Source organism: Homo sapiens, chromosome 21 (assembly GCF_000001405.40).
Source record: "Homo sapiens chromosome 21, GRCh38.p14 Primary Assembly".
Lineage (NCBI taxonomy): Eukaryota > Metazoa > Chordata > Mammalia > Primates > Hominidae > Homo > Homo sapiens.
This window is the reverse complement of record NC_000021.9, coordinates 5,010,001-5,022,099: the sequence shown is the minus strand read 5'-3', so window position 1 is coordinate 5,022,099 and position 12,099 is coordinate 5,010,001. Positions and strand designations below refer to the sequence as shown.

General features: G+C 59.0%; 1 protein-coding gene and 1 long non-coding RNA gene across 3 annotated transcripts, besides 1 other annotated feature; one reads left to right on the top strand and one right to left on the bottom strand.

Moving 5' to 3' along the window:
* Positions 1–12,099: part of a sequence alteration artifact (region identified as an assembly artifact by the Genome Reference Consortium. This region falsely duplicates sequence located at GRCh38 chr21:44095806-44253496) that runs on past the window's edge.
* Positions 4,942–9,736, bottom strand: LOC124905051 (DNA (cytosine-5)-methyltransferase 3-like). Of its 2 annotated transcripts, none has more exons than XM_047441064.1 (3): positions 9,413–9,736; positions 7,629–7,714; positions 4,942–5,168 (listed from the first exon to the last, which is right to left on the bottom strand). In XM_047441064.1, the coding sequence occupies exons 1-3, from the start codon at positions 9,623–9,625 to the stop codon at positions 5,000–5,002; spliced, it is 468 nt and encodes a 155-aa protein (XP_047297020.1). In that variant the 5' UTR covers positions 9,626–9,736; the 3' UTR covers positions 4,942–4,999. The 2 variants fall into 2 exon arrangements, with proteins under 2 accessions (XP_047297020.1, XP_047297021.1); XM_047441065.1 differs by having other exon boundaries at positions 4,942–5,165.
* Positions 8,417–11,646, top strand: LOC105379484 (uncharacterized). The gene is made up of 2 exons (XR_951076.3): positions 8,417–9,544; positions 9,730–11,646. It is a non-coding gene; the product is annotated as an uncharacterized LOC105379484 (long non-coding RNA).

Sequence of the window (12,099 nt, the reverse complement as noted above, 5' to 3'; positions counted from 1 at the left end):
GCGCTCCGATGATCTCCAGGACTTAAGGCGAGTGAGCTCAGCGACTGCTGAGGAATGAATGACTGAATGAACGCATGCATGAATGGAAGGAGGGAGGGAAAGTGGGCGGGCTCTACCCTCTGGGCCAGCCCCAGCCCGCCCCCACCTAGCCTTGCTCCCCTAGCCTTCTAGGGGTGTGAAGGGCGCTGGCGCAGCCTCTTTGCTTAACACTGGCTCTGAGGATCCCCCGCCGAGAAACCGAGGCAGGCTTGCGGCTCTGGGCTCGTCAGCCTTGGCAGTGGCGTCTGGCCTGGAGTCTGGGGCAGCTGGTTTGGGAAAGGCTGCACCACGCAACCGAGGGTGGGACCCAGAGTCCCTGCTCCTTCCCCACCGCACCCAGCCCACCCCGCCCTCCCTCCCTGATCCCTGCAAGCCAGGTGAGGCCCAGGGGGGACGTGACTCCCTTTCTGCAGAGGCACCTCCGGAAGGGCCTGGGTGAGGCTGCTAGACAGGGCAGCGGGGCACCCTCCTCCCGGAGCCCCCGCCTCTGGGCTGAGGCTCGGATCCCCACCGCCTCCTGCGCATGGAGGAGGCGAGAAGCGCAGGGAGACGGGGGCCCCAGACGGCACCCCGCAGGCTGCCATTCCTTCAACCAAGATGTAGAGAACGCCGTGGACAAAAGCTTTAAAAAAATTCTGAAACCTCTGCCCGTGGGAAGTCAACATTTTTGCGGAGCAGAGAGCCCAGGCACAAAATAAGAAGGCGGAAGAGACGGGCTGGGGGGATAGGGGGGACGGCGGCGGGGAAGGGCAGGGAGGGCGGCGGCGAAGGCGCAGGAAGCCCTGAAGCCGGGCGGCTTCCCCCTCCCAGGCCACGCTGAGAGACGGGGGTTGGGGGGATTTAAAATCGCGCGCCTGGCAGGGGCGGGGCGGGGGCCACCTGCCCTCCGGCGGGAAGAGCTGGGCAGGGCCCGCGGAGTGCAGGGCGGAGGCACTGGCGGTCCGCACCCGGGTGAGGTGAGGCGCGTAACCGCATCTGAGCCGGACTCTTTAGGACGAGTCCCGTCCCTGGAGTCAGAAAACCCGGTCCAGCGCCAGCGTGGACGTGCGCTTCCCGGGACACGCCCAGGGACGCCGGCTAGGACCGGCGAGGCTGGAGGGGTGGCGATGTTGGGGGCTGAGGTTCCTCGCCCCGGGGCGGGCGGCTGCTGGTAAGGGACCGCATGGCCCCGCAGGTGAGGAGGGCGCAGGTGAGGAGGGCGCAGGTGAGCCGGGCGGGCTGCGGGCAGCGCCACCTCCTCCCGGAGGCCCTCCCTGATTGACCGGCCGGGAACCGCGCGCCTCTGGGCCTGCGGCTGAGGTCCGGGGCTGCGCCGCGCCGATGAGCTGACGCCGGGCCGAGCGCTCCACCCCCAGGGCCGGGCGCACCTGAATCCCCTCCACCCGCGGGACTGCGGAGAGGGGGACGGCCCCCGGATACCGCGTGGGGGCTTTGGGAGGATGGGGAATGGGTCCTGGGGGAGCAGAGCCTCCCAAATTAAGGCCTCCCAAGAGCGCGGCCGGTCATCCGCGGCGGCGAAGGGAAGGTGCCCTGTCGGTGCGTCCGGACCCCGCAGCCCCCCAGTGCCGCCCGGGGGCGGTGGGAGAGGGGCCGACACCGCAGGGCCCGCCGTGCTGTGGCCGAGGGGGCAGGTCCAGGCTCTGCTTCCCGGGCAGACGCCGGAGACCCCAGCAAGCCAAGTGCTGCGGGCAGCCCCCCCCCCGCCCCCCCGAGAGAGGGGACGCCGCGTGGAGGCCACAGCCAGGCAGGGGCAGGAAGGCAGCTGGGCCAGAAGGGGACACTGAGGCAGGCCGAGGCGGCCGCGGGGGAGGGTGCCAGGACCAGCCCAGGAACCTCGGAGACCACGGTAAGCGGTGGCTGGTTCAGATCCCAACTCCGGAGCTGTGTGACCCCAGAAAGTTCCTTAGCCCCTTGGTGCCTGCATCCCCTGACGTGTGACATATACATGAATGGGGCTGTTGTAAGTGAACGCACACAGCACACCGGCACATGTGTCACAACACTTAGATGGGTTTAGATGAAGAAACAGGGAAACCTTTGGGAAGTTTCCTGTAGTCAAAGGAAGGTTTTCGTTTTCCCCCTCAACCGTGACTGTTTCTTGGGCCGGCAGGATAGGCTTTTGTTCTAGGGGTGTGGAGAGAGGGCCCCTTGGCAGCGTCCAGGGCCAACTGGGAACCAAGCAGGAATCGTATTTGTGCAGCCTGGAGTTCGAGGCTCTGGGTGCGAGTCGTAGTGCTTAAGCAGGAAGCAGCTGCCTGATGCCCCTAGCCCCAGGCCGCCCTGCTCTGCCGTTTCGAGGGCGTGGGGGTCTTCTGATCTCCACCTTGATGCACCTCCAGGCCCGGGTCCTTTTGGGGTCTGGCACAGCAACCTGCGTTTGACAGCATGGGCGTCCGCTGATGCTGAGAGCTCAACTTCTGGTCCAAGGAAGATCTTTTCTCTTCGGGGAACAGTCATACATTGTTTAACGAAAAGGATACATTCCTTCTGAGAAATGCGTCCTTAGGTGATTTTGTCCTTGTGTGAACACAGAGTGCACACACTGGCCCTGGTGGCACAGCCTGCTACACGCCGAGGCTGTGTGTCACAGCCTGCTGCTCCAGGGCCACGAGCCTACGCGGCAGGTGACTGTGCTGAATAGCGTAGGCAGCTGTGACTCACTGGTATTTGTGTATCTAAAGCCATCTAAACATAGAACAGGTGCAGTAAAAATACCGCGCTGTGATATGGGAGCACTGTGGCATTGCTTGTTGACCGAAGGTTATGTGGTGCATGACTGTATGTTCGTTTCCTGTGGGCGCTGGAACTAACGACCTCACGCTTGCTGGCTCAAAACAACAGCAGTCTATTCTCTCTCAGCCCTGGAGAGCGGAAGCCTGCCTGGTGGAGGCGCTAGGGGAGTATCCTACCTGCCTCTCCCAGCTCTGGGTGGCCCAGGCATCCCTGTGCTTAGCTCCAGCAGCCGCCTCAGTGGCCATGTGGCTTCTCTGTGTGGTCAAGCCTCACTTTGCCCCTCTCTTATGAGGACCTTTGGGATGACACGTAGAACCCACCTGGATGATCCAGGGAGGCCTTCCACCTCAATTTAATCCCGTCAGCAAAGTCCTTCCTTTGCCACATGAGGTAACATTCACAGGATCCGGGAATGGGGACATGGGCATCCTTTGGAGGGTGGTTCAGCTGAGCATGGGATCATGATACAGGTCCTGTGTATAAAATTCAAATACTTGGCAGGTCGGGCACAGTGGCTCACACCTGTAATTCCAACACTTAGGGAGGCCAAGGTGGGAGGATCACTTGAGCCCAGGAGTTTGAGACCAGCCTGGGCAACAGAGCAAGACCCCATCTCTACAAATAATTTTTAAAAATTAGCAGCGCATGGTAGCATGCACCTGTAGTCCCAGCTACTCCAGAGGCTGAGGCTGGAGGATCTCTTGAGCCCAGGAGACGGAGGCTGCAGTGAGCTATGGTTGTGCCACTGCACTCCAGCCTGGGGGACTAGCTAGACCCTGTCTCAAAAAATAAAAATTTAAAATAAAATACATAGAGAATCTCAAGGTGGTGTGGACAGTTCTGAGTGTTGGGGAGAGAACAAAAGAAGGAAAGTGCATTTTGGGTGGCAGAAAGCCCCTAACAGAGCCTTGGGCCCCTGCTTTGAAGCAGCCCTCACAGAAACTGACCACGAGTTATGTTGGGCCCATGACACTGGTTCCCTGGGTGGACACAGCCTGAGCCCAGCCCGCCCTGTCTGGAGCTCTCACCACCCTGCCTGGCCCGTGCCCATGGGCTCACAATGGCTTCAACCCCATTTATGTGTCAGCTCAAGCAGGCCTCCCCAGAGGGCTCATTTGCACTTGGATGCCCTCACCTGTGCTCCCTCTGTGGCTTCAGGAACCCCGGGGTCATTACAGAGCTTGCTAAATTCATCCCTGGACGTGAGATGTGTGTCGTAAGCATCCAGGACTGTCCCAAGATGGGAGAGGCGTTCAGTCATGTTCACTCAAGTGAAGGCTTCTATTCTACTTCCAGATACACCTTTTTAACCTTCAAAGGGTCCAATTTTAACCTTTCTTCCACAAAGCATTTTACGTACCACTAATAGTCCCAGTGCAGACCCCAAAGTTCCCCTGTAAGATTCATTTCCTGTGATTCGAGCACAGCCTGAGGCAGAGCTTTCTGCTGGGTTTATCCTCACTGAGACTCAGACTGCAGAGGGCCAGGAGGAGCCCTGCTTTTTGCAAGCAATACCACCTGGGGTAGGACCCACAAGTGACATCCTTTGTGCGTGGATCTGGCCTTGGCCTCCGCACCGTCTGTTCAGCAAGTCCCTCCTTTGCCTGCCAAGGCTGAGGTCCTGTACTTTTGTGTGTGGATCTGGCCTTGGCCTCCGCACCGTCTGTTCAGCAGGTCCCTCCTTTGTCTGCCAAGGCTGAGGTCCTGTACTTTTGCAAAGGTCCAGGCTGTTTGGTGCAGCTACAATCAGGGTGCGTGGTTTCTCTATGAACGCAAACAGCGGTCTCAAGGGGAAGGCCCCGGCAGAAAGTGCATCATGCGGGACACGGTGCAGGCGCTCCGAAGACGCCTCCTGCTCACTTCTGGCCTCCACCCCCTGCCCTGCAGGGTGACAGATGGCTGTGCCTACACATAAAACACCAGACGTGACCAATAACTATCTTATAATAAATATACTCGAACTTCTCAACTAGAACACAGAAATGCTTTCAGGAAGTACATCGCGCACCACCACGTGTGGTCCTGTGTGCAGCGGCGTGGGCCTCGCCCCGTCCCATGAGCCAGCGTGATGGGGGAGAGACCCTGAGTCTCCAGAACCCAACGGAACGTGGGTCTGCAGTGACGACGGAGACGCAAAAAAACAAGAATCCGAAGAGGAAAGAGACAACGTGAGGAAAGTTGCCTTTGTTCTAGGAAAAGTCTTTTTCTTCACAGTATAGTGACTCATTTATAAAGAGGAAGTGAGTTCTGTTGAAAAATACTTGAAATATTCTCTTAGGGGGAGAAAGCAGTTCTTCACCAGCTTGGTGGGCCACTTGGCCGCGAGCTTCGAGCTCTGCTTGTTCTGGGCCAGCAGGGACAATTCTTCTTCCGAAACCAGAGCCCAGTGCCTGCTGCTGAGAGGAGGGGAGGGAAGGTTGTGAGCAAGCGCAGCGCCCACTGGGTGGCCCCGGAGATGGGGCTGGGAAGGAATCGCTGCGAGGGGGCGAGGGGAACAGCCTGCCTCTCAGTTGTCCCAGGTGCCTAAGACCCCCCCCCCGGAACCCCCGCCTGATTCTGGGAGTTTTTCTCATGGAGGTGGAGTGAGCAACAGGGGACCAGATGACTCCCTTGCCTCCCGCCTCCCCCGGCCGGGGGCTGGTCCCCTGGGAAGCAGGCTGGGGGTCACTCCGTGTGAACAGCGAGCTCCAGGGCCATCGCTAGAGGATGTCACCATCCCTGGGCAGCACCCCCGCAGAGGAAAGGACAGGACTCTGGGCAAAAGTTGGCCAAACCCTCGCAGAGTCAGCGAGCATTCCCAGGGAATTCTATCACAAAGGCCGTCCCCTGGGTTCCTGGGGCTGCCTGTGCCGGGAGCCCCAGCCCTGGGTGCAGGAGGGCAGGTGGTGAGAGGAAAGGTCCCCTGCCAGCCTGCTGTGAGGAGCCCTTGAGGAAGACGGGCTTTGCAGACTTGGCACCAACACCCCCTCTCCTGCTCCCAGCCACCCCACTGGAGGCCAGGAACATTTCTCAGTTTATTTTGGGGTGAAGACTGCGAGTGAAGTGCCAGATACAGTGTCCCCCTCCTCCTCCTCCTCCTCAGGCACCCTCCCTAGGGCAGTGGGGACTGTCCTTAACCATCCTGGGGGTGATGGTGGCTACCTCTGCAAAAGGATTTCTCCTTTCAGTGAGTGGGTGTCTCTCATGTCACTGTTGAGACACCCAGGAGCCTGGGAGGGAAACCTGTGGGAAGGAACTGCCAGCCTCCTTCTGGGAACCAGGTGACCCCAGGATCACGGCTCAGGTGGATCCAGCCCTCGAAACCCTGTGAGGAGCTCTGTGGAGCCTCGCTCAGAAAGGGGGGCTGGGAAGAAGCAGCTGCCAGCCCACAGCCCAAGCCTGCAGGGGCCACAAGTGTGGCCACTGGAGCAGAGGGAGGTGCCTTTTGTGGAGCAGCAACCCTGGGTCTGGCTGCACCTGCCACTTAAGAACCCTGATGGGGCGCTGTTCTCACTGCTGTGTGGACGCATAGAGCCTCCGGGGGCCAAGGAGCCTCTGGGGCCAGGCAGCAGGTGAGGCATGGCCTGTAATGCACACAGGTGTTGCTGGGTCTGCCCCCACCTTCACCCCCGCTCACCCAGCCCCACAGAGCCTGGCATGGCCTCCCAGGAAGTGACATGGCGGGGAACAGGCTTAGGGTTAGGGGGAGGCTGTGCGAAGGCTGGCATGCAGGTGAGAGGGCTTCTGAAGAGAAAGCATGCTGGAAAAGTGCTTCGGCTCAGCCCCACCCAAACTCAAATCCAGGGGAAGCCAGGCCAGCAAGACCTGCAGGTGCCATGCCTTGGCAGGTGCCAGGCAACAGGATCGTGCCTCGGTGGTGACGTGGGAGATGCTGGAACCGGGGAGGTGAGAGGGAGTAAGTTTCCAGAACTCACTCTCAGGCAGGAGGAGATCATGACTCAGCTGAGCCAGAAAGCGCTCGTTCCACACGAATGCACGTATGAGCGAGGCACGCCAGGCGAGTGTGGGAGTGAGGGGATGGATGGGCGGTTGGCTGGAGGTCGTGAGGTCTGGGCCGCCTGGAAAGGCTGTTGAGGGGCGGGGGCAGCTGGGAGAGGCTGTGGGGGCAGCAGAAGGGGGTGCTTAGCCGCAGAGAGGGCACGTGGGGAAAGGCCATGTGTTCAAGGCCCCAAAAGGTGGGGAGGGCAGCCCAGGAGTGCACCGCAGGGGGTGCAAGCGTGTGGGTGGGTGAGACTGATGCGTGTGTGCCTGTGTGATTGTGAGCACATGTGAACGTGTGGATGCAGGTGGTAGTCGTGAGTGTGCTTGTGTGAGCATGTGACTGAGGGAGCATGTGGGTGTGTGGATGAGCGTGACTGTGGGGATGACTGTGTGTGCATGCATGAGCACACAGGTGTGTGGATGAGCGTGACCGTGGGAATGACTGTGTGTGTGTGCATACATGAGCACACAGGCGTATGGATGAGCGTGCAAGTGAGTCATGTGAGTGTGGCTGAGTGTGAGCACGCATGAGCTTGTGGGTGTGCAAGGGAGGTGGGGAGGCCACACGGAATGAAAGCCTGGGGGCTGCAGCCGATTCAGGGCCAGGCCGCCATGGCGCATATGGGTGTCCAGGGGCTGGACCCCGAGAAGCTGAGAGCCAGTGCTGGAGAAGCTCCCCAAGGGGAAAGGGGCATCCTCAGGCTTCGGTGTCTTCAGGGTCTCAGGGTGGCCCCGAAGGCCGACCGCAGTCCCACTGGGGCGCAGAGGCTGCTCTGGGCTTGGCTCTGCTAGACAGACCCCATTTCCTCAGTGAACCCCGCTTCTGGGTCCATGTTCCCCTTGACCCTGAACGCTTTCAGCTGCCCAGGAAATACCTCCTTATGGCTGGGATGTTGCTCCACACGCGGACAGCATTCTGCAAGGATCCGCCGTGGACATCTGGGATGGTGACTGGCTCCATCTGGGGGCGGGAGGGTCGGCCGTGGGTCAGGGGACCTGGACGGTAAGCGCCCCCCACAGGCCCACTGGCCTCAGCCGCCAATGGCCCTGAGTGGTCAATGGACTTTCTAGCCCGACTGTGTTCCCTACGTCCTTTTTTCTTATGAATCACCTTTGGAGAAAAATGCTGATGAATTATTTTAAACTGACAGAACAGACTCTGTGGCAATAAGATATCAAATTACAAACAGGACCTCAGGCCGCGCCAGGCAAGGGTCGAGCCGAGCCGCGTGCCCTACACTGAGAGGACGGACTCTGCCCTCACGCCACAGCTGCTGCTTTTTCTGCAGCGGCTAAACACGCACTGGCCCCGCGATGAGGATGAGCAAGGTTCAAATGACTGCAGCTCATCCACCTGCAGATGCCAACTGACCACGTTCCACAGCCATGACCACAGCTCTGACTGGGCAGGAGACTGACTTCAGGAACCTCCTCCTGATAAGGGACCCCGACCACAGACTGGCTCCGGCCGGTTTACAGAGGTTGTGCGCTTGAGGGCCTGTGTCCTGAGAAGACCTCTGAGGTTTAGGGCCTCATTGCGACACACTGACATGATAAGACTCCACCCCGGAGTGAACAGAGGTCGTAAGTTCCACGGATTTTGTTCAGTACGCACGCAGCAGGACCCCCTTCATGAATATTCACCGCTCCTCCATAACCTGCCGCACAGGTTTAGCCAACCCGGTCAGCACGGAGCTCCTGCCCCAGCCACCCCTCCCCTTCGAAGTGCCTCCTCCTGGCTCCTCTGGTCTTGGTGGAGGCCCCGTGCTTCCCAGCCTGGGGGACGGGACCTTGCAGGCTGTGCCCCTTTACAGAAACAAAGTCTCCTGTTCTAAAAGCACAGACTTTGTGATTTTCAGCTCATGGCGTTTGCTCCCCTTCTGAATAGCTGGATTTGCATTCCAGCCACTCCACGAGATTCCAGCACCAAAGGAACCTCAACGCCACCTGGACCCCCAGCAAAGGCTCTGGCCCACAGGTGCTGCCCACTCGGTGGGTCGGGCCCCCGCTGGCTGTGGCCCCTCCATGGAACCTGAGAGCATGAGGAAATTCCCCCTCCTGAGCCTCACGCCTGTCTCCTGTGGCTGAGGTGTGGCCGTCCCTCCCCAACCCTGGAAGTGTCTGGAACACCCGGCCCATCAGCCCCAGAGGGGACCCATCCGCTGAGTCCAAAAGTGGCTGCTCTGACAATCAGGATTCAGACGTGTGAAGAAAAGGCTGTATGTGTGTGGTGTGAGTATGTGTGCACGTAGTGTGCCTGTGTGTGTGTGGCAAGTGTGTCCCTGTGTGTGGTGCATGTGTACAGTGACTGTGCACTGCAGTGTGTGTGCACCTGTGTGTGTGGTGTGATGTGCGTGTGTGTGGGTGGAGACTGAGGGGGCAGGGGCAGGAGGTGAGCCCCCGAGGCCGTGTTCTGTGAGCACAGGAGTGGTGCGAGGTGGGACTGCCCTCCCATGCTGTCCTTGAAGGGGCTTTGTGTCCCAGGCCGCAGTCCCTGCCCGGACTGCACAGCAGCTCTCCTGGGCCCTGTACACACCTGGAAACCAGGGGCCGCAAGGAGCCAGGCCCGGAGCCTGGGGTGTAGACTGAGCTCCACCAGAAAAGCCCCTCCCTCACGTGGGCAGGGGTCAGAGGGCGGCCCACGCAGCCCTGCACGCACCTCCAGGAAGCGAGATGCGACGTCCAGGTCTTCCTTGTTCAGCACCAGATTGTCCACGAACATCCAGAAGAAGGGCCTGGGGCTGCCTGGCTTGGGCCGTGCGTACTGCAGGAGCCGGTGGAACTGGAACAGGTACCAGCCTGGAGTGGGGTGAGGGGGCAGGGCTGAGGGGGGGCCGGGGGGGCTGGTCATGGGGACGCTGTTCAGGTGCATCTGGGCAGGGGCCTAAGGAAACTGGGGCTTGAGAGAAGGGCTGAGGGGGTCGAGGGGACGCACCGGCCTGGGTCTGAGGGATCCCCCTGCCCCTGTCCCTCCAGCAGCAATGAAGCCCTGCCCAGTGCTGGGGCCACAGAGGTGCATGGACCCCTCCTCCCCCAGGCAGGCCTAGAGTGGGGAAGAGACAGACAGGCAACCCCGAGGGAGGAGCTGACGCAGAGCGCGTGCCGCGGCACAAATACCGCCTTTTAGAGGAAGCTCCAGAGGACACGTGAGCTGCAGTGATGTGGGCACGCTGGGGGCTGCATGGGGTCAGCGGGAGGCTTGGGGGCACAGGGAAGCCTGCAGTGATGGGGACTCTTACTCTGTTGCTCTCTTACTCTGATGAGGGGTGCATGGGTGTGGAGCTAGCTCAGAACTCATCCAGTCGGACACACTGAATGCGTGCAACTTACTGTATGTCAGTGGTGCCTCGATAAAGCTGTTTTTGAAAAATGCTGACAATTTGCAGTTTCTGCCCTGGCATGGAGGTGTGAGGAGAGAGGAGAGGAGACAGGGGTGGTGGGGACAGGCTGCCAGAACTGAAGCATCACTCACTGGGAGGACGGTCACAGGTGTGGCCCAGGGGAGGTGTGGCGCCGTACACAAGATCGAAGGGTCCCCACTCCTCCACCTGCAGGACAGAGGGGAGTGGGCACTGAGAGGCAGCAGCAGTGGGCAAGGTCGCGTGCGGCAGCACGAGATGACCCCAGGGCAGACCCTGCTCAGCTCGCAGGGCCCACAGGCCAGGGCAAGCTGAGGAGTGGAGCCCACTAGGGCAGAGCCATCCACAGCCACCACCAGCCTCAGGGGCTGCCTGCCTGGAGCCCAGAGGAGAAAGCTCCGGGTCTGAGGTGAAGACTCTGTGCCATGCATTTGGGGACTGAATTCTGCCTTTATTTTTTCTTGCTCAAATTCCTTTCTAAGGAGCGTAGGGGAATCACGCCTTACAAACCACAAAAGCTTGTGGAATGGGTGTTTTTGACCTGGTATATTGTGACTCTGCCATGGCACCACATGACAGACAGCAGACCTCCTTATTTTAACTCAAGCATTCCTTTCTACTGACTCCCAGTTTTTAGGCAAAGCTCAACTCTTTCAACCAACTGCCAACTAAAGAATCCCTAAACCCACCTATAACCTGTAAGCTTCAAGATATCTCGCCTTTTGGGGCTGATCCAATGCACATCTTCTATGTATTGATTTATTGATTGATTGATTTTTTGAGATGGGGTCTCACTCTGTCACCCAGGCTGTAGTGCAATGGCGAGATCTCGGCTCACTGCAACCTCTACCTCCTGGGCTCAAGCAATCCTCCTGCCTCAGCCCCCTGAGCAACCCCAGGTGCACATCACCATGACTAGCCAACTTTTTTGTATTTTTGGTAGAGATGGGGTTTCACCAAGTTGCTCAAACTGGTCTTGAACTCCTCAGCTCAAAGTGCTGGGATTACAGGCGTGAGCCACCGCGCCCGGCCCGTGTACTGTTTTCTGATTCCACCTGCAGTTCGCATCTCCCTGAAATGTACAAAACCAATTGTGCTGGGAGTGGTGGCTCACGCCTGTAATCCCAGCACTTTGGGAGGCAGAGGCGGGCGGATCACGAGGTCAGGAGATTGAGACCATCCTGGCTAACACGGTGAAACCCCGTCTCTACTAAAAATATAAAAAAATTAGCCAGGCATGGTGGCGGGCGCCTGTAGTCCCAGCTACTCGGGAGGCTGAGGCAGGAGAATGGCAGGAACGCGGGAGGCGGAGCTTGCGGTGAGCCGAGATCACGCCACTGCACTCCAGCCTGGGCGACAGAGCAAGCCTCCGTCTCAAAAACAAATAAATAAATAAATAAAATAAAAATAAATAAATACATAAAACCAAATTGTAACTGACCGCCTCAGGTGCACTTCCTCGGGATCTCTTAAGACTGTATTTCCCAGGCCATGGTCACTCTTATTGGCTCAGAATAAACCTATTTAAAAACTTTGGCAGAATTTGGTTTTTCTGTCTGTCCTCACATTGCCCTTAGAGAACCAGTCCTGGGAGGCCCAACATGCAGACTACCTAGGGAAGTAACTGTCATCTGTGAACACAGCAGGTGCCGTCCGCAGCCCTCCAGGAGCTAACAGCAAGGGCAGAGCCTTCCCTGCTGAACAGAAACAGCCCCCACAGAGTAGCTCCCTGGGGACCACAGAGTAGGTCCCCACAGGCTATTCCATGGCCGAGCTGGAAGAAGACAAAACACAGCCACCCAACAATCTTGCCTGAACACATGCCCTTCAGTCACAAAAAGTGACCAAGGGGAGGCTGTGAGCAACACTGGCTTCATTAACAGTGATGGCCCTCACTCTGTCATTCTTATTAAATAAAAATTAACAGCTGGACGTGGTGGCTAACACCTGTAATCCCAGCACTTTAGGAGGCCAAGGCGGGTGGATC

Coding starts and splice junctions, on each gene's coding strand:
- LOC124905051 (XM_047441064.1), bottom strand. CDS start 9,625: ATGCACCTGAACAGCGTCCCCATGACCAGCCCCCCCGGCCCCCCCTCA. Junction 7,715..9,412: donor TCGCATCTCGCTTCCTGGAG/GTGCGTGCAGGG, acceptor TCCCGCCCCCAG/ATGGAGCCAGTCACCATCCC. Junction 5,169..7,628: donor AACATCCCAGCCATAAGGAG/GTATTTCCTGGG, acceptor CCCTCCTCTCAG/CAGCAGGCACTGGGCTCTGG.